This window comes from Homo sapiens, chromosome 17 (genome assembly GCF_000001405.40).
Source record: "Homo sapiens chromosome 17, GRCh38.p14 Primary Assembly".
Classification (NCBI taxonomy): domain Eukaryota; kingdom Metazoa; phylum Chordata; class Mammalia; order Primates; family Hominidae; genus Homo; species Homo sapiens.
This window is the reverse complement of record NC_000017.11, coordinates 47,399,601-47,421,475: the sequence shown is the minus strand read 5'-3', so window position 1 is coordinate 47,421,475 and position 21,875 is coordinate 47,399,601. Positions and strand designations below refer to the sequence as shown.

The 21,875-nt window shown below is 38.0% G+C and overlaps 1 protein-coding gene across 6 annotated transcripts in view, besides 2 other annotated features; it reads right to left on the bottom strand.

The window, feature by feature from the left end:
• Positions 1-21,875, bottom strand: part of EFCAB13 (EF-hand calcium binding domain 13) — a 117,358-nt gene that overhangs the window by 19,837 nt on the left and 75,646 nt on the right. For 4 of the 6 annotated variants that reach the window (NM_152347.5, NM_001426587.1, NM_001426586.1 and 1 more), the window contains 6 exons: positions 19,273-19,344; positions 17,455-17,598; positions 16,843-16,914; positions 11,785-11,829; positions 8,560-8,703; positions 6,557-6,628 (listed from right to left, as the gene is read on the bottom strand). In NM_152347.5, coding sequence (NP_689560.3) covers positions 6,557-6,628; positions 8,560-8,703; positions 11,785-11,829; positions 16,843-16,914; positions 17,455-17,598; positions 19,273-19,344 — 549 coding nt within the window. Of the gene's footprint in view, positions 1-2,750; positions 5,565-6,556; positions 6,629-8,559; positions 8,704-11,784; positions 11,830-16,842; positions 16,915-17,454; positions 17,599-19,272; positions 19,345-21,875 lie in introns of those variants that run through there. The other 2 variants (NM_001426588.1, NM_001426585.1) reach the window with 1 other exon arrangement.
• Positions 11,206-11,406: a silencer, noted in NCBI's record as "peak2873 fragment used in MPRA reporter construct". NCBI's record gives its function as "represses an SCP1 promoter by STARR-seq MPRAs in K562 erythroleukemia cells {active_cell/tissue: K562}" and the evidence as "EXISTENCE:reporter gene assay evidence [ECO:0000049][PMID:32103011]".
• Positions 20,106-20,306: a silencer, noted in NCBI's record as "peak2872 fragment used in MPRA reporter construct". NCBI's record gives its function as "represses an SCP1 promoter by STARR-seq MPRAs in K562 erythroleukemia cells {active_cell/tissue: K562}" and the evidence as "EXISTENCE:reporter gene assay evidence [ECO:0000049][PMID:32103011]".

Below are 21,875 nucleotides of genomic sequence, written 5' to 3'. Positions count from 1 at the left end.
CTGGGTACTTGAGATTAGGGAGTGGTGATGACTCTTAAGGAGCATGCTGCCTTCAAGCATCTGTTTAACAAAGCACATCTTGCACCGCCCTTAATCCATTTAACCCTGAGTACACATGTTTCAGAGAGCACAGGGTTGGGGGTAAGGTCACAGATCAACAGGATAAGAATTTTTCTTAGTACAGAGCAAAATGAAAAGTCTCCCATGTCTACCTCTTTCTACACAGACACGGCAACCATCCGATTTCTCAATCTTTTCCCCACCTTTCCCCCCTTTCTATTCCACAAAACCGCCATTGTCATCATGGCCCGTTCTCAATGAGCTGTTGGGTACACCTCCCAGACGGGGTGGTGGCCGGGCAGAGGGGCTCCTCACTTCCCAGTAGGCGCGGCCGGGCAGAGGCGCCCCTCACCTCCCGGGCGGGGTGGCTGGCCGGGCGGGGGGCTGACCCCCCCACCTCCCTCCCGGACGGGGGGCTGACCCCCTCACCTCCCTCCCGGACGGGGCGGCTGGCTGGGCAGAGGGGCTCCTCACTTCCCAGTAGGGGCGGCTGGGCAGAGGCGCCCCTCACCTCCCAGACGGGGCGGCTGGCCGGGCGGGGGGCTGACCCCCCCACCTCCCTCCCGGACGGGGTGGCTGGCCTGGTGGGGGCTGACCCCCACCTCCCTCCCGGATGGGGTGGCTGCCAGGCGGAGACGCTCCTCACTTCCCAGACGGGGTGGCTGCCGGGCGGAGGGGCTCCTCACTTCTCAGATGGGGCGGCTGCCGGGCGGAGGGTCTCCTCACTTCTCAGACGGGGCGGCCGGGCAGAGACGCTCCTCACCTCCCACACGGGGTCGCGGCCGGGTAGAGGCGCTCCTCACATCCCAGATGGGGCGGCGGGGCAGAGGCGCTCCCCACATCTCAGACGATGGGCGGCCGGGCAGAGACGCTCCTCACTTCCTAGATGGGATGGCGGCCGGGAAGAGGCGCTCCTCACTTCCTAGATGGGATGGCGGCCGGGCAGAGATGCTCCTCACTTTCCAGACTGGGCAGCCAGGCAGAGGGGCTCCTCACGTCCCAGATGATGGGCGGCCAGGCAGAGACGCTCCTCACTTCCCAGATGGGGTGGCGGCTGGGCAGAGGCTGCAATCTCGGCACTTTGGGAGGCCAAGGCAGGCGGCTGGGAGGTGGAGGTTGTAGCGAGCCGAGATCACGCCACTGCACTCCAGCCTGGGCACCATTGAGCACTGAGTGAACCAGACTCCGTCTGCAACCCCGGCACCTTGGGAGGCCGAGGCTGGCGGATCACTCACGTTAGGAGCTGGAGACCAGCCCGGCCAACACAGCGAAACCCCGTCTCCACCAAAAAAATACGAAAACCAGTCAGGTGTGGCGGCGTGCGCCTGCAATTGCAGGCACTTGGCAGGCTGAGGCAGGAGAATCAGGCAGGGAGGTTGCAGTGAGCCGAGATGGCAGCAGTACAGTCCAGCTTCCGCTCGGCATCAGAGGGAGACCGTGGAAAGAGAGGGAGAGGGAGACCGTGGGGAGAGGGAGGGAGAGGGAGAGGGAGAGGGAGAGGGGACATTTCTTATATGTAGATCTCTTGGTAGTGAACTTTGTTTTTTTTAAAAATATTATTTCATTTTTAAAACATACTTTAATATAGAATACAATGTTCACAGCCTTTTAAAAAAGTTTAGTATTCAATGTTATTCCATTATCTCTGGCATTCATCAGAGATGGACCACAGCATTCTGAAAGACAGTGCATTTCACCAGCACTGTAACTCCTGAACAGTAATAACCAATAAACTATTGACTCATGAACTAAGCTAGGCTCCTCCAATGATAATTTTGTAAACATCTTTTGTAAAGAAAGCTACAAATATTTATTATTATTATCATCATTATTATTTAGAGATGGGATCTCACTCTGTCACACTGGCTGGAGTGCAGCAGCGTGATCACAGCTCACTGTGGCCTTGAACTCCTGGGCTCAAGTGATCCTCCTGTCTTCCTGAGTAGCTGGGACTACAGTCATGTGCCATCACACCTGGCTTATTTTTAAATTTTTTGTAGGGACAGGGTCTTGCCATGTTGCCCAGGCTGGTCTCAAATTCCTGGCCTCAAACGATCCTCCCCCAATGTCCTCCCAAAGTGCTTATAGACATAAGCCACCACACCCAGCCATCAGTATTTTTTTGCTCCTTAGAAAATAATGTATAACTTTTCACTGGTGGCTTTTAGGATTTTCTCTTTGTAGTTGGTTTTCAGCCATTTTACTCTCATGTTCTTAAATGTGGTTTTCTTTGTGTTTATCCTATGGCCCCACAAATCCTGACAGGCTTGGTTACTGCCCATTGCCCTTAAACAGTTGTGGTGATTGCTTATGTTGCTTAATTTTTACTAGATTTTATAGTTATTCTATAAAATACAAGCTACTTCATCATATACAGATAGAACCAGGTGAACCAGCTTTACGGGTAATTCTAGTTACCCTGCTCTGGTTAAAAATTACTGTTTAGGTTATTACTTTAAACAAAGCTATAGCAATCAAAAGTATGTGATATTGATATAAGGATAGAATAAATATAAAAGGAATAGAATTGAGAGTCCAGAAATAAACCCATACATCTATGATCAATTGATTTTCTCTAAGGGTACCAAAATCATTCAGTGGAGAAAGAACAATGTTTTCAACAACTGATGCTAGGACAACTGAATATCTGGAACAAAAAAGATAAAAATGGACTGTCATCTCACACCACATACAAAAATTAACTCTAATTTATTAAGGATTCAAATAACAGAGCTAAAACTAGAAGAAAACTTTGGTGTAAACCTTCAGGAGTTTGCATTATCTTTATGACATCAAAGAAGCAACAAAATAAAATATAAATTGAACTTTACCAAATTCAAAATCATTTATGCTTCAAAGGACATCAGGAAAGAAAAAAGACAACTAACAAAATGTGAAAAAATATTTGCAATTATCTACCTGATAAAGGTCTAGTATCCAGAATATATGAATAACTCTTAAAACTCAACAATAAAAAGCCTGATTTTAAAATGGGCAAAGGATTTGAATATACATGTATCCAGAAAATCACTGAGGAGAAAGTATGTATCCCAGAACAAGTTTTTAATGCAGACAAAAGTGCCCTATTCTGGAAAATAGTGCCAAAAAGGACATTTATTAGTAGGGAAGAGAAGCAAGCACCAGGATTTAAGAAGGGTAAGCTAGCTCTAATGTTTTGTGCAAATGCTGTTAGGTTTAAAATCAGGACTGCCCTTATCCATAAAGCTGCTAACCCTCAAGCCTTGAAGGGAAAAGATAAACTCCTGCTGCCATCTTTTGATTGTATAACAAGAAGATTTAGAAAACCAGAATTCTTTTTCTAGATTGGTTCCATCAATGCTTTGTCCCTGAAGCAAGGAAGAGACTGCCTTTTAAAGTTCTTTTGATATTGGACAATGCCTCTGGCCACCCAAACTCTATGAATTCAACACCAAAGGCATTGAAGTGGTCTACTTGGCTCCAAATATGATATCAGCCTCTACATTAGGGGGTCATAAGAGCCTTTAAAGGCCCATTACACATGGTACTCTATGGAAAGAATTGTCAACACTGTGGAAGAAAACCCTGACAGAGAGAACATGAAAGGCTTCAGTAGGATGCCACATCAAGCCCCAAACAATAAACTCCTGCTGGAGAAAGCTGTGTCCAGATGTTGTGCATGACTGCACAGGATTTATAACAGAGCTAAACAAGGAGATCATGAAAGAGATTGTGGAAATGGCGAGAAAAAAAATGGTGAAGGGTGAAAGGTTTCAAGATATGACTATTGGGAGAAATTCAAGAGTTAATATACACCACACCAGAGGAATTAACTGAAGATGACTTGATAGGGATGAATGCTTCCAAACCAGTGCCAGATGGTAAGGAAGAAGGCATAGAAGAAGCAATGCAAGGAAACATATTGACATTAGACAATCGGGTAGAAGAGTTCCAATTATTCATGACTGCTTTGACTTATATTATGACATGGACCCTTCAATGATATGGACACTGAAACTAAAGCAAACAGTGAAAGATTGGTATCATAGAGAAACATTCTTAGAGAAATGAAAAGCCAATAACGTCAGACAAGAAATTATGATGTATTTCCATAAAGTTAAACCAAGTGTCCTTGCCTCTTCTGCCTCCTCTTCCACCGCCTCCACCTCTTCCATCTCTCCCACTCCTGAGATAGCAAACCAACTCCTCTTCCTACTCAACTTGAAGATGGTGAGGATGAGGATGATGATCCACTTACACTTAATGAAGAGTCAACATATTCTATCTCCCTTATGATTTTATTAACAATATTTTCTTTTCTCTAGCTGTGTTATTGTAAGAAACAGTATTATATAAATATGCCGTAAAGATATGTGTTAATCAATCATTTATGTTATTGATAAGGCTTCCACTCAACAGTAGACTATTAGTAATGAAGTTTCGGGGGAGTCTGAAATTATACATGAATTTTTGACAGTGTAGCCACTCGTTTTCCAGCCAGTCTCTTGAAGCAAAAGTATCCACTTACCCTTGGACTTTTGGAAATGTGGACTTTCTTTCGTTTTCATTAAGCAATCTTTTAAATCCAACTCCATATTATCTAGAAGGTGCCCCTAACCCCCACATTGTTCAAGAGTCAATTGTACTAATTCATGCTATAATATAAATGAACTTTGAAAACACATGCTATCAGCATGGATGCAGCTGGAGGCCATTATCCTAAGTGCATTAACACAGAAACAGAAAACCAAATACTGCATGCTCTCACTTATAAGTGTGAGCTAAACACTGGGTACTCATGAACAGAAAGATGGCAACAATTGAAAGTGGGGACTACCAGAGGAGGGGAGGGGGAGAAGGGGAAAGGGTTGTAAAACTAACTATTGCATACTATCCTCAGTACCTGGGTGATGGGATCATTCATATCCCAAACCTTAGCATCACACAATATGCCCAGGTAACAAGCCTGCACATGTACCCCCTGAATCTAAAATAAAAGTTGAAAAAAAGAGAAAGAAAGCATATGCTGTATAAAAGAAGTTAGACACAAAAAAATACAATATGATTACATCTATATGAAATGTTCAAAATAGGCAAATTCATACAGACAGAAAGTAGATTCATGGTTGTCAGTAGCTGGAGAGAGGTGGGAATGGAGAATAACTGCTAACAGGTACAGAGTTTCTTTCGGAGTCATGAAAATGTTTTGGAATTAGAAAGTTGTGATGGTTGCACAACTTTCTGAATATACTAAAAATCACTGAATGGTACACTTTAAAAGGGTGAAATTTATGGTATATTAATTATGTCTCAATTCTAAAAGCTACATCTGATTAAAAATACTATAAGGCATCCAATTTTAGAGATATTAAAATGTAAAAAATGTGATACAAAGACATTTGTTTCACCAAAGCATTTAGAAATACGCCATTGATAAGGGTATCTGCATCCATGAAGAGTTCTTTGGTAGGTGTTCTCTGCAGATGTGGGAGTCAGGAAAATATGTTGGTGTTGAAATGGTCTCCCTAATTTCAAAAAGAATAAGACGAACCTCAGGGACAGAGGCCAAGCAGAAGTCTTTAAATAGCAGGGACAAAATGATGTGGTTAGGCAACATAGATAGTGTGGTATTAAGAATAATACAGGGATTGATACTGCGAGGATTTAGAAGGACTGATTAACTGAAGTTAGGATTTCTATAACTGAAATAGATGGGCAGTCCAGTTGTGAACATCTGAAAACTCCAGAGGCATGACTTAAGATGTCACAAAAACTGGTGGTCCCTCATCCAATTCCACACATGATTTAATTCATAGATCCACAAGTCATTGAAGAAAAACCTAACTACCTTTGAGAAAGGACCTTGCACATATTAATCTTTTTAACCTTACCTTGTTTTCCCCCTCATTATATCTTTGCCCAATTTTCTTCACTTATTTTTATATTATATTATTTATACTATACATCATAAGTGGCTTGAAATCCTTTTTAAAATTAGAGAGACTAAAAATTAAAAACCTGAAATCCAGATAGTCTTTTTTTTATTATTATTATACTTTAAGTTTTAGGGTACATGTGCACAATGTGCAGGTTAGTTACATATGTATACATGTGCCATGCTGGTGTGCTGCACCCATTAACTCGTCATTTAGCATTAGGTATATCTCCTAAAGCTATCCCTCCCCTGTCCCCCCACCCCATAACAGTCCCCAGAGTGTGATGTTCCCCTTCCTGTGTCCATGTGTTCTCATTGTTCAATTCCCACCTATGAGTGAGAATATGCGGTGTTTGGTTTTTTGTTCTTGTGATAGTTTACTGAGAATGATAATTTCCAATTTCATCCATGTCCCTACAAAGGACATGAACTCATCATTTTTTATGGCTGCATAGTATTCCATGGTGTCTATGTGCCACATTTTCTTAATCCAGTCTATCACTGTTGGACCTTTCATTTTTAAATGTCATTTTTAAATATTTATTTTCTAGCCATTCTCTTGAACAAGAAGTATTCACTTACCCTTGGACTTTTGGAAATGTGGACTTTCTTTCATTTTCATTAAGAAATCTTTTAAATCCACCTCCATATTATCTGGAAGGTCAAAGTAAAAAATGCTGACATTAAAAACCTGATACTGAATTGGCACATGAAATAAAGACCGATTTACAATAGTTAGCTAAAATTTCACTCTAGCTCACTTTTCTGTCTCAAATGATTGAAACTATTTCAATAGAACTTTTAACACTTTTTAAAACCACCCAGTGAATAGTTAATAATATTACTAGCAAACAATAGCTAACATTTTTGAGTTCCTTATATATACTAGGAACCCTTTTATGGTGTTTTACATATATTAAATCATGTAATCGTCATAATAATTCTGTGATGTGCATACTCTTCGCATGCCTATTTTTTTTTTTTTTTTTGAGATGGAGTCTCGCTCTGTTGCCCAGGCTGGAGTGCAGTGGCGCAATCTCTGCTCACTGCAAGCTCCGCCTCCCAGGTTCTGCATGCCTATTTTTGAAAGATGAAAGCAAATGGAAATTAAATAACTTGTCCAGGTCACAAAGTCAGGAAATGTTAAGAGGTTGTATTTTAATTGATGCAGTCTAAGGCCAGAGGAGACAATGTTATTAGAATACACACATACATGCACATGTACATGTACACACACACACACGCACGTGCACACACACACATACACAGTCACAAGTGAAGTAAGGTGCAATAATGTGACACAGCAGACAATCTAGGGCTATAATTATATTAAGGAGACTTTGAGTTTAAACAAAATGGCAGACCTGGGTAGCACAGAAACCATCCCACTACAAACCCCTAGAGATGCTCTATGACATATAACATTCCATGGATGTGTGACTGAGTCATATGAAGGAAATAACAAAAAGTTAACTGGGAACTGAGGTCCAGAATGCTAAGCATTGAGTACTAACACCAAAACTATCTTTGGGATAGAGATGAGACCCAGAAATGGCTAGGTGCTTGATTTAAATGTTCATACAGAGTCAGAAAAAAAGATTCGAGCCCATAAAAATAAGGTTAGGAACTTAGATATCAAATAAAACTGAAATGCTTAAAGGGTTTCAATCCTGGTTTTTTAAAAAAGAAATTAAAATACTATATTTATTGACTCAAATAAACAAGGAGGCCTAAATCTTCCCAATTCTGAAAGACAGTGGAAAAAAAAAATCTCTTGTGAGAAATTGAAGGCCCAGCATGCATCTCATGTGGGTGTGAAGTCTAAATTTATACCACTCTGATGATGTGAGAAAACTGAGATCAAAACATAAAAATTGATCTAGGTGAATAACAATCTGGGGAACCTGGCAAAATCAATAACTAAACTGTACTGGAGAGGTATTCTTAAACCTAGGACTCACAGGATTCCCAGACACAAATTGGTTAAGATAAGCCCAAAATAAAAGTTCGCCAAAAACCAACAGAACTCAGCAGCTTCTAGAAGTACTCTCAAATGATTTGACTTCCTAAAAGTAAATGTGTATAGGAAAGGAGATCAAGTACATATTACATGAAGTCAAAGACAGAAAACAAAGGTAAATATGGACTACTTGAAAACAATCACTAAAACTAAATAACTTATTTTTAAATGTAGTGAGCCCTCCCACATTTTATTTGGTTAAAAATCAAAATGGAGCAAGTACTGTAAAAAAAAAATGAAAGCAGATCTCCTCTGAAAAAGATTGCATATCAAAATAAGCTGCTGTTGTCATGTTTTTATTATACAATTTATGGTATTTTTCCACCCATGCTTATAAGTAATGAATGGTAATTAAATAAGCACATATAGTATCCATATGAGTATGAATAGATATGTTCAATAAATATTTAAATTAGTAGAGTGGTTTGGCTCTAATTTGTATCAACCTAAGCCTCCAAAAGAAAAATGACTCCCATTAGCATCTTATCCTTATAGGTACACTCTAAGACTATTTTTCATAAGTAGAAAAAAAATGAAAAGAATCTCAGGCCAAAAAAATGCTCACCACTGACGTTACAACAGTTAAGGGCTTCATTGAAGTCCTCCTCAGTTAAATTAACATTCAAACATTTCAAGGCATGCTCCAAATCAGGTATACCAATCTTGCCATTATCGACATGTGACAAGATGTTAGCAGCTTCTTTAATCTCTACAAAGATAAATGTACACAAGCTATTATGGTGTAAAAAACATTCAAAATAATTTGTCCAAAATCTACCATAGGTAAACCTCAAATTAAATATTTATCTGAATCAAAATCTCTCCAAAGGAAACACAATATTTTCTATTTGTAACTGATGGCCCACTTCCCTCAAGCAGCACTTGAAACTAAAAAACATTATGGCAAAGAGAATAATATGATGGGCTATTGACATGTATTATAATAAGACTTTGTCTTCATTCATTCATCCATTAAAAACTGAATGAGCTACATGCCTCCCTGTACATGTAGATCTAAAGATTTCTACCACCTGATGATGTAAACAAAGGCTAAAATTTGAGATTGAAGCTCTTGATCCCCAGGGCCTCAGATAGTTCATACTGTGCTTTTGTGTGAATTGGGAAAAGGCACCTCCTCTCTATGCATTAGTTACAAAAAAGGGTACCTTTCACTAGGCAACTGCAATCCAGCACAGAGGTTCAAGGCTTGGAGTATGAACTGCATTTCAGCCTCCACTTATGCTCTCTCAACAGGCACCTTTGTGCAAAGCACAACTCACATAACCAAACGGGGCAGTCCTGTTGATCTCACACCAATTTAAAATATAAAACATAATCATTATGTGCTTTTTAATTTTTCTGGTTTTTGTCTGTTTGTTTTTGTTTTTGAGATGGAGTCTCACTCTGTCACCCAGGCTGGAGTGCAGTGGTGCCATCTCAGCTCACTGCAAACTCTGCTTCCTGGTTCATGCCATTCTCCTGCCTCAGCCTCCCAAGTAGCTGGGATTACAGGCATGTGCCACCATACATGGCTAATTTTTTAAATATTTTTAGTAGAGACGGGGTTTCGCCATGTTGGCCAGACTGGTCTCGAACTCCTGAGCTCAAGTGATCCACCGGCGTCAGCCTCCCAAAGTGCTGAGATTACAGGCATCAGACACCAAACCCAGCCTAATTTTTCATCTGTACCATTTCTCAATCAATTTCTCCCTCAACCTCCACATGAAGTTGTCTATGTTTCCATATGCTGAAAATTGTTGCATTACACCAGGAGATCTAAGCCTTCATGGAGATCACTTGGAAAGAACACCATAATATCATCTTAGACCTACATTCATTCTACTAACAGTTATTTTACAGCTTCTAAGATCAACAATAAAATATTCAGTCCCTCGTATCAAAGAGTTTCAAGTAAATTCCTTGATAAGGGAGACTAAATCTGTCATATCTATAAACAAAATTATAATATATCATATAGTAAGTGATATGAGAAAAATACACACACAAAATTATGGAAGCACTGAGAAGGTTCACCTAACCTAGATTTAAAAAGTGATGAACTCTGGGAAGGAAGTCTTATGGCATCAGAAATGACATTTGAACTGAGTTTGGGGGGGAAATGTCAGTTTGTCTGTCAGGGAATGTATCCAAAGGAAACAGTATATGCAAATAAATGCAAAAGCAAATAGAGCCAATTTAAATTGTGCTAAGTAGTATGACTACAGAATAAATACAAATGCAGAAATGATAAACGGTGAGTCTGAAGAGATAAGAAGACAAATCTATTCAGTCATTCATTCAAAAAATATTCATGATTATGAGTTAACAACAAAAGATTTGGAACAATAGCATAGTAAATATTACATAAGTATCAGATGTTAATATTAGTTAACCTTAAGAGTCTAATTAAAGAGCCAGGACTCTGCTAGGTCCTGGAGATACAATGGAAAGCAAAGAGGAGACATATTCCTTGGCCCAATGATACCAGGCAAGTGGGAGGAAGAGATATTAATCAAATAATCGAAAACAGAAACGGATATTTATAATATGAAATAAGTGCTATGAAATGGACAGAATTTAATAACAGCATATAACAAAGGAAACAAAAAATTCTGACCTATACTAGCCACTGATGATAGGCTTTTCTATAATTGACTCATGGAGTCAAAAGAGATTATTCTCCAGCTTTCAGACTTAATGTTGTTTTCCCTTTTTGGTTTCGGACTTACTTGGGACCAATTATCCCTTTCTTCTCACTCATTTCTCCCTCTTGGAATGGATATGTCTATCCTATGCCTGTGTGTTTTGGAAGCATGTAACTTGCTAACTTCACAGACTTACTGCTGGAGGAGAATTTGCCTCAAGAAGAATTGTACCTTGAGTCTCACCCATCTGATTAAGATGAGACTCTGGAATTTGGACTTTTGAGTTGGCACGGGAACAAGTTAAGAGTTTTGGGGCTACCAAGATGGAATGAATGTATTTTGTACATGAAAAGGGCATGAATTTTGAGGGCCAGGGATGGAATGCTATGGTTTGATTGTGTCCCCCAAAGTTTATGTGCTGAAAACTTAATCCCCAATGCAACAGTGTTGACAGGTCAGGCCTAATAAGAGGTGATTAAGTCACAAAGGCTCTGCCCTCATGAATAGATTAATGTCAGTGATTTAGTTATTGCAAGAGTGGGCTTATTATGAAAGTAAGTTCAGTCTCCTCTTGCTCTCTTGCTCTCTCAAACTTTCTTGCCCTTCTGCCTTCTGCCATAGTATGACACAGCAATAAGGCCCTCACTAGATGTGGGCCTCTTGACCTTGGATTTCCCAGCCTCTAGAATTGTAAGAAATGAATCTCTTTTTTTTTTTTATACAAATTATCCAGTCTGTGGTATTCTGTTACAGCAACACAAAACAGACTACAACAGTAGGCAAAGAGGATCAGGGAAGAATATTCCAGGGAATAGAATATGCAAAAGTCTTGTAGTGGGAGGAAAGGGGAGTATCTAAGGAACTAAAGTAAAGCCAATTTAGTTGAAGTACAGAAAGCAAGGATAATGGTACAAAATAACGCTAGAAAGATAGGGCATGGAGGATTTTAATTTTTATCCTAATAACAGGAAATGTTTGAAGAGTTATAAATAGGGGGAGGTAACATGATCAGATTACTATTGTGGAAAAATAGTAATCTGGCTGAAGTCAGCAGGAAAAATGAGAAATACATTGGTACTTGGCAATTATTCTAAAAAATATCTCTTATTATTGAAAATTTTCTCATATACAAAGTTCTTACTCACCGTTTACCTTTGGTAATTTTAGATTTGAAGCCTCTTTCCTGAAATCTGCAAATTTAGAGAGAGACATTACACAATGAGGAATGGCATCCTGATCTTACCCTGTTTGAAAGGAAACCAATGGATAGATTGAATACTTCTTTTCCCACTAACATTTATCATTGATAACCATTCCCTTCTTCTCAAAAGTTGTTCCCTGGCTCCCAAAATATCCATTCTCTCCTCACTCTTTGCTTACTACTTGGGCTCCTTCATGGTTATCTTCCACCAACTCCTTAAATGTGGCAGTTTCTAATGTCACAGATGCTTCCTTTCTCCCTAAGGGGAGAAGTTAATCCCCAGCCGGTCTATTCAATAAAATCCTTAATTATTAGTCTAAATTGTCCTTCTTGATCTCTTACCTACCTATATACTATCTAGTCCCAGAATTTTTCCTAAGAACATTATACCCATTACTTAATTAAATGTAATTAATGAATGGGTATTACATTATACCCATTCACTCCACATACTTCCTACAGAGATGCAAGTTGGTGTAGAGATCTGAGGAACAAACGATAGAAATAAAATCTGTCCATTTGCATAGATGGACTCTATTGTATTAAAGAACAGTTTAGAATAACTCACAGCTAGCCCAGGTATTACCCTGAAACAAACAGAGGTTAGAATACACATAAATTATATTTGCCTTAATTTGTATTTTTGTTTTAAGCAGGATAAACAAAACAAATAACCTATAAAAAGTACTTTCAAAATAATAGGTTTGGGCAATTTTACATGATAACTCTAAACAGGATTGCTGAACCTAGGCACTATTAATATTTTTGGCCAGATAATTATTGGGGGGGGCAAGGGTATTATCCTGTAAATTGTAGGATGTTTAGCAGCAACCCTTGCCTCTATTCACTAGATGCCAGTAGTCCTCTCCCATCAGTTGTGATAACCAACACTGTCTCTAGATATTGCCAAATATTCTCTGGTGTGAGGTGGGGGGCAATGGGGGATTTGATTATACTTTTTATTTTGTATTTATTTATTTACTTGAGATGGAGTCTTGTTCTGTCGCCCCGACTGGAGTGCAATGACGTGATCTTGGCTCACTGTAACCTCTGCCCCCTGGGTTCAAGCATTCTCGTGCCTCAGCCTCCCAAGTAGCTGCAACTACAGGCATGGGCCACCATGCCAGGCTAATTTTTGTATTTTTTTAGTAGAGACGGGATTTCACCATGTTGGTCAGATTGCTCTCAAACTCCTGACCTCAGGTGATCTGCCCGCCTTGGCCTCCCAAAGTGCTAAGAGTATAGGTATGAGCCACTTCCCCCAGCCTGATTACATTTTTCAGCTGAAGCTAAATTTAAAGGCAGGAAATGGCTTTCTAAATATGGGGTAAACTCTATCTCAGTACATCCAAGCTGAGGCTATATAGATGGATCAGGTAAATTCTTTGTAAATAAAGTAAACAACAACTCGACACTTACAACTGGCTATAGAAATAAACATTAATTTTTCAACAATACCTTGCACTTCTCAAAGGGCCTTTCATCCAAAAACAGAAAGCTACAAAACCATTAAGACCTCTCTAAAACACATAAAAGGAAAAGGATTAACTTTGAAATAAAATTATTCTTCAAAGCCATGCCACAAATATATAAATACTCTGAGATCAATTTTACAATCCAGGTCATCAGATCACCCAGAAATTTGATACTGTAATGACTAAATCTCTGTGGGCACATATAACACATAGACCTGAATATGGTCTACAGTAAAGTGTCCAACAAGTTTATGGTGTGATTTAGGGGCCAAGTATTAAGACTTAAATAATACTTGGTAAAATAGTTTGAAATCCTTGGATAAAAATTTAGAAGAACAGTAATATCAAACATTTGGACCAGAAAGCCCATGGCTGACCTCCCTAAATTAAAAAACAAAAAACAAACAAAAAACAAAAAACTAAATAAAATTCAGAAGAAATTTTTTATACAAGCTGCTGGTTGTCTGTCAAATCAACTCATCTTCAACAAAGGAGTCATCCATTACTTCTTGAAGTATGTCATCAGTAAAAGAAAGCCTATCAGTGTTTTCAAGTACATCTGGATTTTTGTCTTTGTCAAACTGACAATTTTCTTTCGTGGAGTCCAATGTATTGATAGTCTCATTCAATGCTACAAACAGAGAATATACATACAACATGTAATTCAGTCCATGGATCTAAGTCTTTTGAGCATAACAATAAAATTGATGGCCTCTTTGAGATCTACACTGTCGAATAAGGCAGTCACCAGTCACATGTGGCCATTTAAATATTTAGAGTGGTCCATTCTCCACTCTGATAATTTTCTATAACTCTACTTCAATAGTTTTCTCCACTCCAATAGCTTTCTATTTGTAGCTCTAATAGTTAAAAATAACCCTTTTCTTTATTCTTAAAATTGATTTGTTAAATGTCTGGGTTTGAGGTGAGCTATTCTGCTACAGACAAAAGTATGCTAAAGTTTCCCTAGTTATTCTGTTAATAAGCGCACCATTTCAGTAAAGTCCCCTTCATTCCTCATAACTCCTCCTAAATGCCAATTTTTCTCTTTCCTTCCCTGCATCCCTTGTTCCTGTCAGCTAACTTCACCCATTTTAGAGAATCATCACAGCCTCTTATGTTTAGCACAGTCACAAACATTTGGACTAAGAAGACCATGGCTGACCTCCCTTGATTTAAAAAAATGTTAAAAGTTCACATTTCCAAAGTATATTCCTAAAAAGGCATCTCTCAGGATTTTGTTCTATGATATAGTCATTTGTCATTGGTAAGAAGTTTCAAAAACAGGTCAGTGAAGAAGAGTTGAAGGGATATTTGAGTCTAGAGAGAAGATTCATTTAGTGGGAAGGAAAGAGAACATGTGAGTTATCTTGACATTTCTGGAAGGCTATTAATGGGAGGAAGAGTCCAAATGTCAAATATGGTTCCAGGAAATTTCCACCAAATATGTGGAATAATGTTCTAGTTCTATAGCTGTCGAAAATTATAGAATGAGCTACTTCAAAAAGTCATAAGGACTTCCAAGACAAAGAGTGAAATGAGTGAATGTACCTTACCTAGCGTATCCCTGCAACCAACTAATTTTATTTTGATTGTTAAATAGTAAATATAAAAGTTGAGGGAATTCTGTCTCTAATGAACTAGGGAACTATCAAACCGTCTATTACAGACCTCATTCTCTGACCACAATAAAATACAACTAGATATAAAAAACAAACTTAAGGCAACAATGACATTTAAATTGCTTTGAAATTTGGCCGGGCGTGGTTCATGCCTGTAATCCCAGCACTTTGGGAGGCCGAGGCGGGCAGATCACAAGGCAGGAGTTCGAGACCAGCATGACCAACATGGTGAAACACTGTCTCTACTAAAAATACAAAAATTAGCCAGGCATGGTGGTGTGCACCTGAATCCCAGCTACTCAAGAGGCTGAGGCAGGAGAATCGCTTGAAACCGGGAGGCAGAGGTTGCAGTGAGCCAAGATTGCTCCACTGCACTCCAGCCGAGGCGACAGAATGAGACTCCGTCTCAATAAATAAATTAAATAAATAAATAAATTGCTTTGAAATTTAAAGTTTCCTCCTAAATAACTCTCAGACCAAGGAGAAAATCAAAATGCAACTGGAAATATTTATAAAATAACCATAATAATAGCCTAACAAGTCAAAGACTGTTAGATACACCAAAGTTTCACTAAAATGAAAATTGACTGCCTTAAACATGTTTATTACCCAGTAAGAAAAAAAATAAAGTAAATAAATAATTTAAACAAGAAATTAGAAAAACTATTAAATGAGTATAAGGGAACAATATAAAGGACTTACTAAAGGTAAAATCAGAAATTAATTTTTAAACTATAAATAGAAACGCTAAAGATAAACCCAAGAGCTAGTACTTTAAAAACAGAGATAATAGAACATTCAGTAGCAAAGAAAAAAGTTATATATATACCTATATATATAAATTTAAGAATGAGAAATAACCATATATACAAAAAAATGAAAAGAATTAGAAGTGCATAGGGCTGTCCTAATAGTCTAAGTCATTTTAACCTCAATACAATTTAAAATTTCCTGGAAGAATCAAATTACCAAACTGACAAAATGAAACAAAAGATGGCAAAAAGCAATCCATCAAAGTCAAAAAATCAAAAATAAACTAGAAAAAAATGTGAAATGGGTAAGACAAAGTATTAATGCTCCTATCAGAATTTTAAATAAATAATACCCCCTGTTGATAAAAGTGTGAATTTCCACAAATCTTTAGGAGGGTAATTAGGCAGTAGCTTGTTAACATTTTACATCTAAAAATACTTTGGCCCAGCAAGTCCACTTCTAAGGAATTTGCCCTACAGAAAAATTGTGTGCAACGTGCACAAAGATATATGTACAAGGATACTCACCAAATGTTTGTAATAGTAAAAAAATGGCAATAACCTAAATATTTATTAAAAGTATTGTGGACAAAATTATAGTTCATTCCTCTAGTATAACATTATGCAGTCTTTTAAAAGAATGAGGTAGGTTTACATAATATAGTGGAACACAGAATTATATCTAAGATATACTGTCATATATTGCACTCAAGTTGTGCAATATTATGGACAGATGTAAAGAAGAAAGCCTAAAAGGATATTTACCAAAGCTTCATAGGGATATTTCTGAAGGGTAACATTAATGTTACAAGAGACTTGCACTTTATACTTCTTACATTCCTGGTCATTTAAGTTTTTTACAGCATTAAAAAGAACTATTCATTCATATAATAAAGATGTCTTATTTTAACTATTGGAAAAGATCATACTCTTGTTATTTTTCCCATCTCCAATCACAAATGTACAATTCTTAAATTTCAAAATAAAATGTAGGAAGTTCCCCATAACTGAAAGTGTTCAAGTACACATGAAGCAAACATTTGGCACAGATACTATAAAGAAGATTTAAACACCAAATTTAGGGTTTTACTAGGTGAACTTTGAATAAGTTCTGTATCATTGCCTTCTAACAGTATTACCATAAAGCTCTTACCAATATAATTGGAAAATTTCTGGGTGTCCCTCAAAGCCCTCATACAGTCTTTAATGTTCACCATGTTATCTTCTGCAAGGAAAAGAGAGAGATGACAAACAAGAACCCCTAGACAAAGTAATACTTAAAGGCTAGTATCAAAATCAGCATATGACTTATATATTTCTCGAACATTTTATTTACAAGGTACTTTTAGATTCATTTTCATCCATTAAGCCTCGCAATAACCCTACAATGTTGTAGGTATACTAAGTTCTGATTCTACCTATAATGGGAACTGAAGTACAAAGAAAGCCCCAGTAACTCTGACCAGTAATTTGGTCAAAGGTGGCAAAGCTAGGATTTCTATTCACAGAACTTGAATTCCTAAGATGTTTTTCATTCGCTAAATCAAGATAGCAATGAGGACAGAGCATTCTAACAAGCCCACTTCCACAAAATCTAGACCCGCTTGTATAGAAGTATTCTCATAACTGCAAAAGAGGAAATTAAGAGGAAAGGCTCCGTTTCAAAGATTACATTTATAGTAACATAAGCAAATACCTATAGACCTTGCACATCTTCTTTACTCCTACAAAAAAAAAACCTGAGAGTAATATTTAAAATGCTTACCAGAAACAAAATCTGATTGAAGAATTTTCTCTACCTCTTCTTTAGGTGACTTAATCCCAACATTTCTTAGAAAGTCTTCCAAGTTCTTCCCAGCTATCATGTCACCTTCCAGCAAATCAGCAGCTAAGACAACTTCCTGTAACTCTATAAATAGAAAAAAAGTTAATTAATAAAAAGCAGTAGCCATCACTCAAGACATTTGTTAGTGGAAATCCATAGTTTATTATTGTATCCTGAACTGAGGAATAAGAAATCTCAGAGAGAAATTCTCCCCTCATAGAATTCTATGGCCAGCAGCACAATGTGCAAAGAGTTCTCTTGATCTATCACGTTTCTCTGGTGCGTTTATAAAATTTGCACAACCAAAATCACTCATATAGCTGAATTTTTCACTGCAATTATACAAAGTAATTATTTTGCTGTGGACCTCTAATGATATCAAATAAAATTAACTCATCAGATATAGGCAAAATAACTTTCAGAATTATGAAAAACGTAAAATATGAGACAAGATTTACAAGGGCTCATTCAGTTTTCCTTTTCAGTTCCACCAGGACCCAATTGTACCCTAGTGTCTGGAATGTTGCTTTATTTCCAGCACTGGTTAAGTCAGACCAGCATTCAAAGTCTGGCTCCAGGATTTGTAACCTGGAACTGTGCAACTGTGAGCAAATTATTACTACTTAATGTCTCGTCTAAAATGGGATAATACTATCTGCCTCACAAGGTTGATGTGGAGAGTAAATATAACAATGTATAAAAAGTACTTAAGATAGCATTAGACATATAATGCCTCAATAAATGTCATATTTATAGAATAAAATTAGTTTTATTATTATTATTAAAGTCAACAGAAACTAGCTGCAAATAGTAATCACAGTTTAAGTCTTATGTCCTGCCTCACTTTCTATTCCTCTAACATCACTGGGATGCAACTACAGATGGCAATCTGAGCTTTGCTGACACCCAGAAAACCTGTATCAGCTCTGCTTTCTTGCCTTAGCACTTGATTTCCTTCAAAAACAGTTTCTTTGCACAACCACCTTGAGTAGAGTCTGCTCATCCTCCCATGCTCCACATACTGTAAGACCAGGAAGCAGAATAGCATTTTCCTGTCTTTCTGCTGCTGCTATCAGGCCATTTTAGTTCCACCTTCAATCAAACCTTATCCCTCTCCCATGAGGCTCAGGCCTGTTATTCAACTATGCCACTCTCCTGACAACAGTATTGATTACTGTCTGATCACTCCTTCACATTCTCTGAGGATTTTGGCACTTTGATCATAATCCTCCTTCTACCTCTCATCCCAATATCATCCAATGATAATAAGGATGAGCCTGGCCTCAGAGCACTTTGACCTCTTAACTTCAAAAGGCCTTTATTTCCTTTCCAAAGTCATCCACACCAATGGCTACCCTTAATCCTTATCATTACCTAGAATTGTCTATTCCACCTCTAAAATCTTAAATTGCAAGGTCAGACACTGACCATATTCCCTTAAAATTACATGTGTAGATACTGAAAGAAGGCATAGAACTTCATACTATGCCTATTCTCTTGGCTCCTCCAAGTTCTTTAACAAATAGTCTAGACAGAGTAAACCAGCTTTATCAGTTAGTAATGAAGGATACATTCTGAAAGCCAAGTTCCTATATGCCAGCCAATGTTTAATCAAAACCAAGTTTCATCTGCGTATAAACATATCAATGCCAACATGTTAACCAGAAATTAGGTGAACACACAGCATTAAAAACAAAAACAAAAGCAAGTCCTTTCAATAAAAGTAAATCTAACCGTTATAAATAATTCAGTACTTACCTTCTAACCTGGCAGCATCACGCATATTCCTTACTACTTTTGCAAATTCTTCAAATTGTACTTTGTCACCTTCTGTGAGAAAAAACACTTTTAATAGACCAACCTCATTACGCAAAAGTCAGATCCAATAAAGCAACCTATAAAAATGTAAACCATTTGATGCACTCCTAAGAATCATATTTCCTTTTCATATTTTTGAATAACCAAAGGATTAATTTTATGGGATTAATAAATATTAAGACTATAGAAGTCAGGCTGATGGCTGGGCGTGGTGGCTCACGCCTGTAATCCCAGCACTTTGGGAGGCTGAGGTGGGTGGACCATGAGGTCAGGAGTTCAAGACCATCCTGACCAATATGGTGAAACCCCATCTCTACTAAAAAATACAAAAATTAGCCGGGTGTGGTGGCATGCGCCTGTAGTCCCAGCTACTCGGGAGGCTGAGGCAGCAGAATTGTTTGAACTGGGGAGGTGGAGGTTGCTGTGAGCCAAGATCTCACCACTGCACTCCAGCCTGGGCGACAAAGCGAGACGCCATCTCAAAAAAAAAAAAAAAAAAAAAAGTCAGGCTGAGTTCTCAATTTCAATCAATCAATGGAAACAATATAATCCATATTCCCAAAATATAAAACCAAGACATATTCCTAGACAAAATTAAGAGACATACCTCAGTCTTAGTTTTGTCTTTCAATTGTTTGAAGATAAAAATTCTACACCAGAAAACTTTAAAGACGTCTTTCAGTGCCTGATAGGCCTATGACTACAATTTCTGATATGTGTTTACACCCATTTCTTACACAGTACACAAGTACTAGATTACAAAGTTAAAGTGATGAACACAGGAAACAGAAGCAGCTTTGTTTTCCCAGCCAGGAATAAGGAAGCTTAGGATTTAGAAATATTATAGTTTATTATCATAGACTAGAACAAAGCACAACAAGCAAAATGTGTCACCAGCAGATAAAAGCCTGAACAGGGCTTAAGTATATAGCTACAATTAACAATGTCTCACCTTCTATCTACCTTAGCTTTAAATTGACACTTGAACTTTTAGGAACTATTCTCTAGAGTAAAAACGCATGTCTTTTTGCAGTATTTTTGCTGCTTCTGTCATTTAGTAGAGTCCTATATATCACTAACTGTAAAGGCTCTGTCCCTGAATCTGTGTTCTCTCTCTGATGGGAGAAACGGTAGAGAAGGATAGAAGTGTTTGTACATTCCATTCCTCATGCTTCTTTTATACTTTTATAATACTCAGGATGGCCTTCCACTAGCTTCACATCAGTCAACAAGGTTACATAATCAAATATTCTAAGACCATGTTATATAAAGACGCTCTTAATTAAGTGTCTTCAATTTACAGTAGCTTAAAGCTCAGCTTAAAGTAGGCAACGGGTACTGTAATTCAGTCACCTAAATGGAGTCCCCTCTGAATCTAGTTCTTGGTATGTATAATCAAGTAGAACTAAATCACAGCTACTTACAATTCTGGAAGGAAGGGAAGGGAAGGGAAGGGAAGGAGAGGGAAGGGGAGGGGAGGAGAAGGGAGGGAAGCAAAGGAGGGAGGGAGAGTGGGAAGGGAAGGGAAGGGAGGGAGAGAGGCAAGGAGGCAAGGAGGCAAAGGAAGAAAGGAAGCAGGGAGCCATCTGACGTCAACAGGTACTGATAACACTAACAAAATCTACAGCTAGCTTTGGACCTGTTTACCAAGGGACCCAAATCTGTAAGCATGACCTGTGATCTCATTTGATCCTTAGGTTCATACAACTTGCTGAAATAGAATAGCAACTACCAATATTAGGAAAGATTTCCTGGATATCTTTAAATAAATCCTGTGAAAAGAAATGTGGATGGATAGAGCTGCTGTCAAGAATTTGTAGCTCAATTATTCTTTGCTAAACCACCAAAACAGGATTAATCACAGCTGATGCCAGGTTGCAAAGTTAGAGCCTGAAACAAAGATTCAGATCTGGCTTCAATGGATATTGCATAAAAAGTCATGAAGATAAGTTCAGAGTCTTGCTGCCAAGCCGAAAAGAAAACAAAGTTATTAAGCTAATTTCAAACACATCAGATATCAGAGTCAGGAGAAACAGAGAATATCAGTTTAAGTTTAAAAATCTAAAACAAATAAAGCTAGAGAAACCACCAGCAGAGAAGAGATTGTCCCAGGCCTTAAATGCCTAACAACACCTATTAATGATTTCCTCTAATTCTTCGCCTATGGATTCAATGTCTCACATTCACCTTGACCATTTTCCATACCCTCTTACACATTTTTGCTCAACACCAACTTTCTTCACTCAGGTCTTTCAGAAGAAACAAGAGAGCTCATAAGCTACATGACTAGATATTTGGGAAGTATTTCTGAATATGCCAAATGATAAATTACCTTTTCTATTTTTCAATGCTTTTTTTGTAATCATCATAAAATTATTTTTTAATTTTAAATATATTTTAAAATATTAAGGAGTCAACATGGAATACCACCAATAACCAAGAACTCACTCTTCAATTTCACTAGAGAGAATCTGAATCAGTTGTTTTTCAGGGTTTTTTTTCTTTTTAACATAACCTGGTCAAAATAATACCCTAGATCAGTA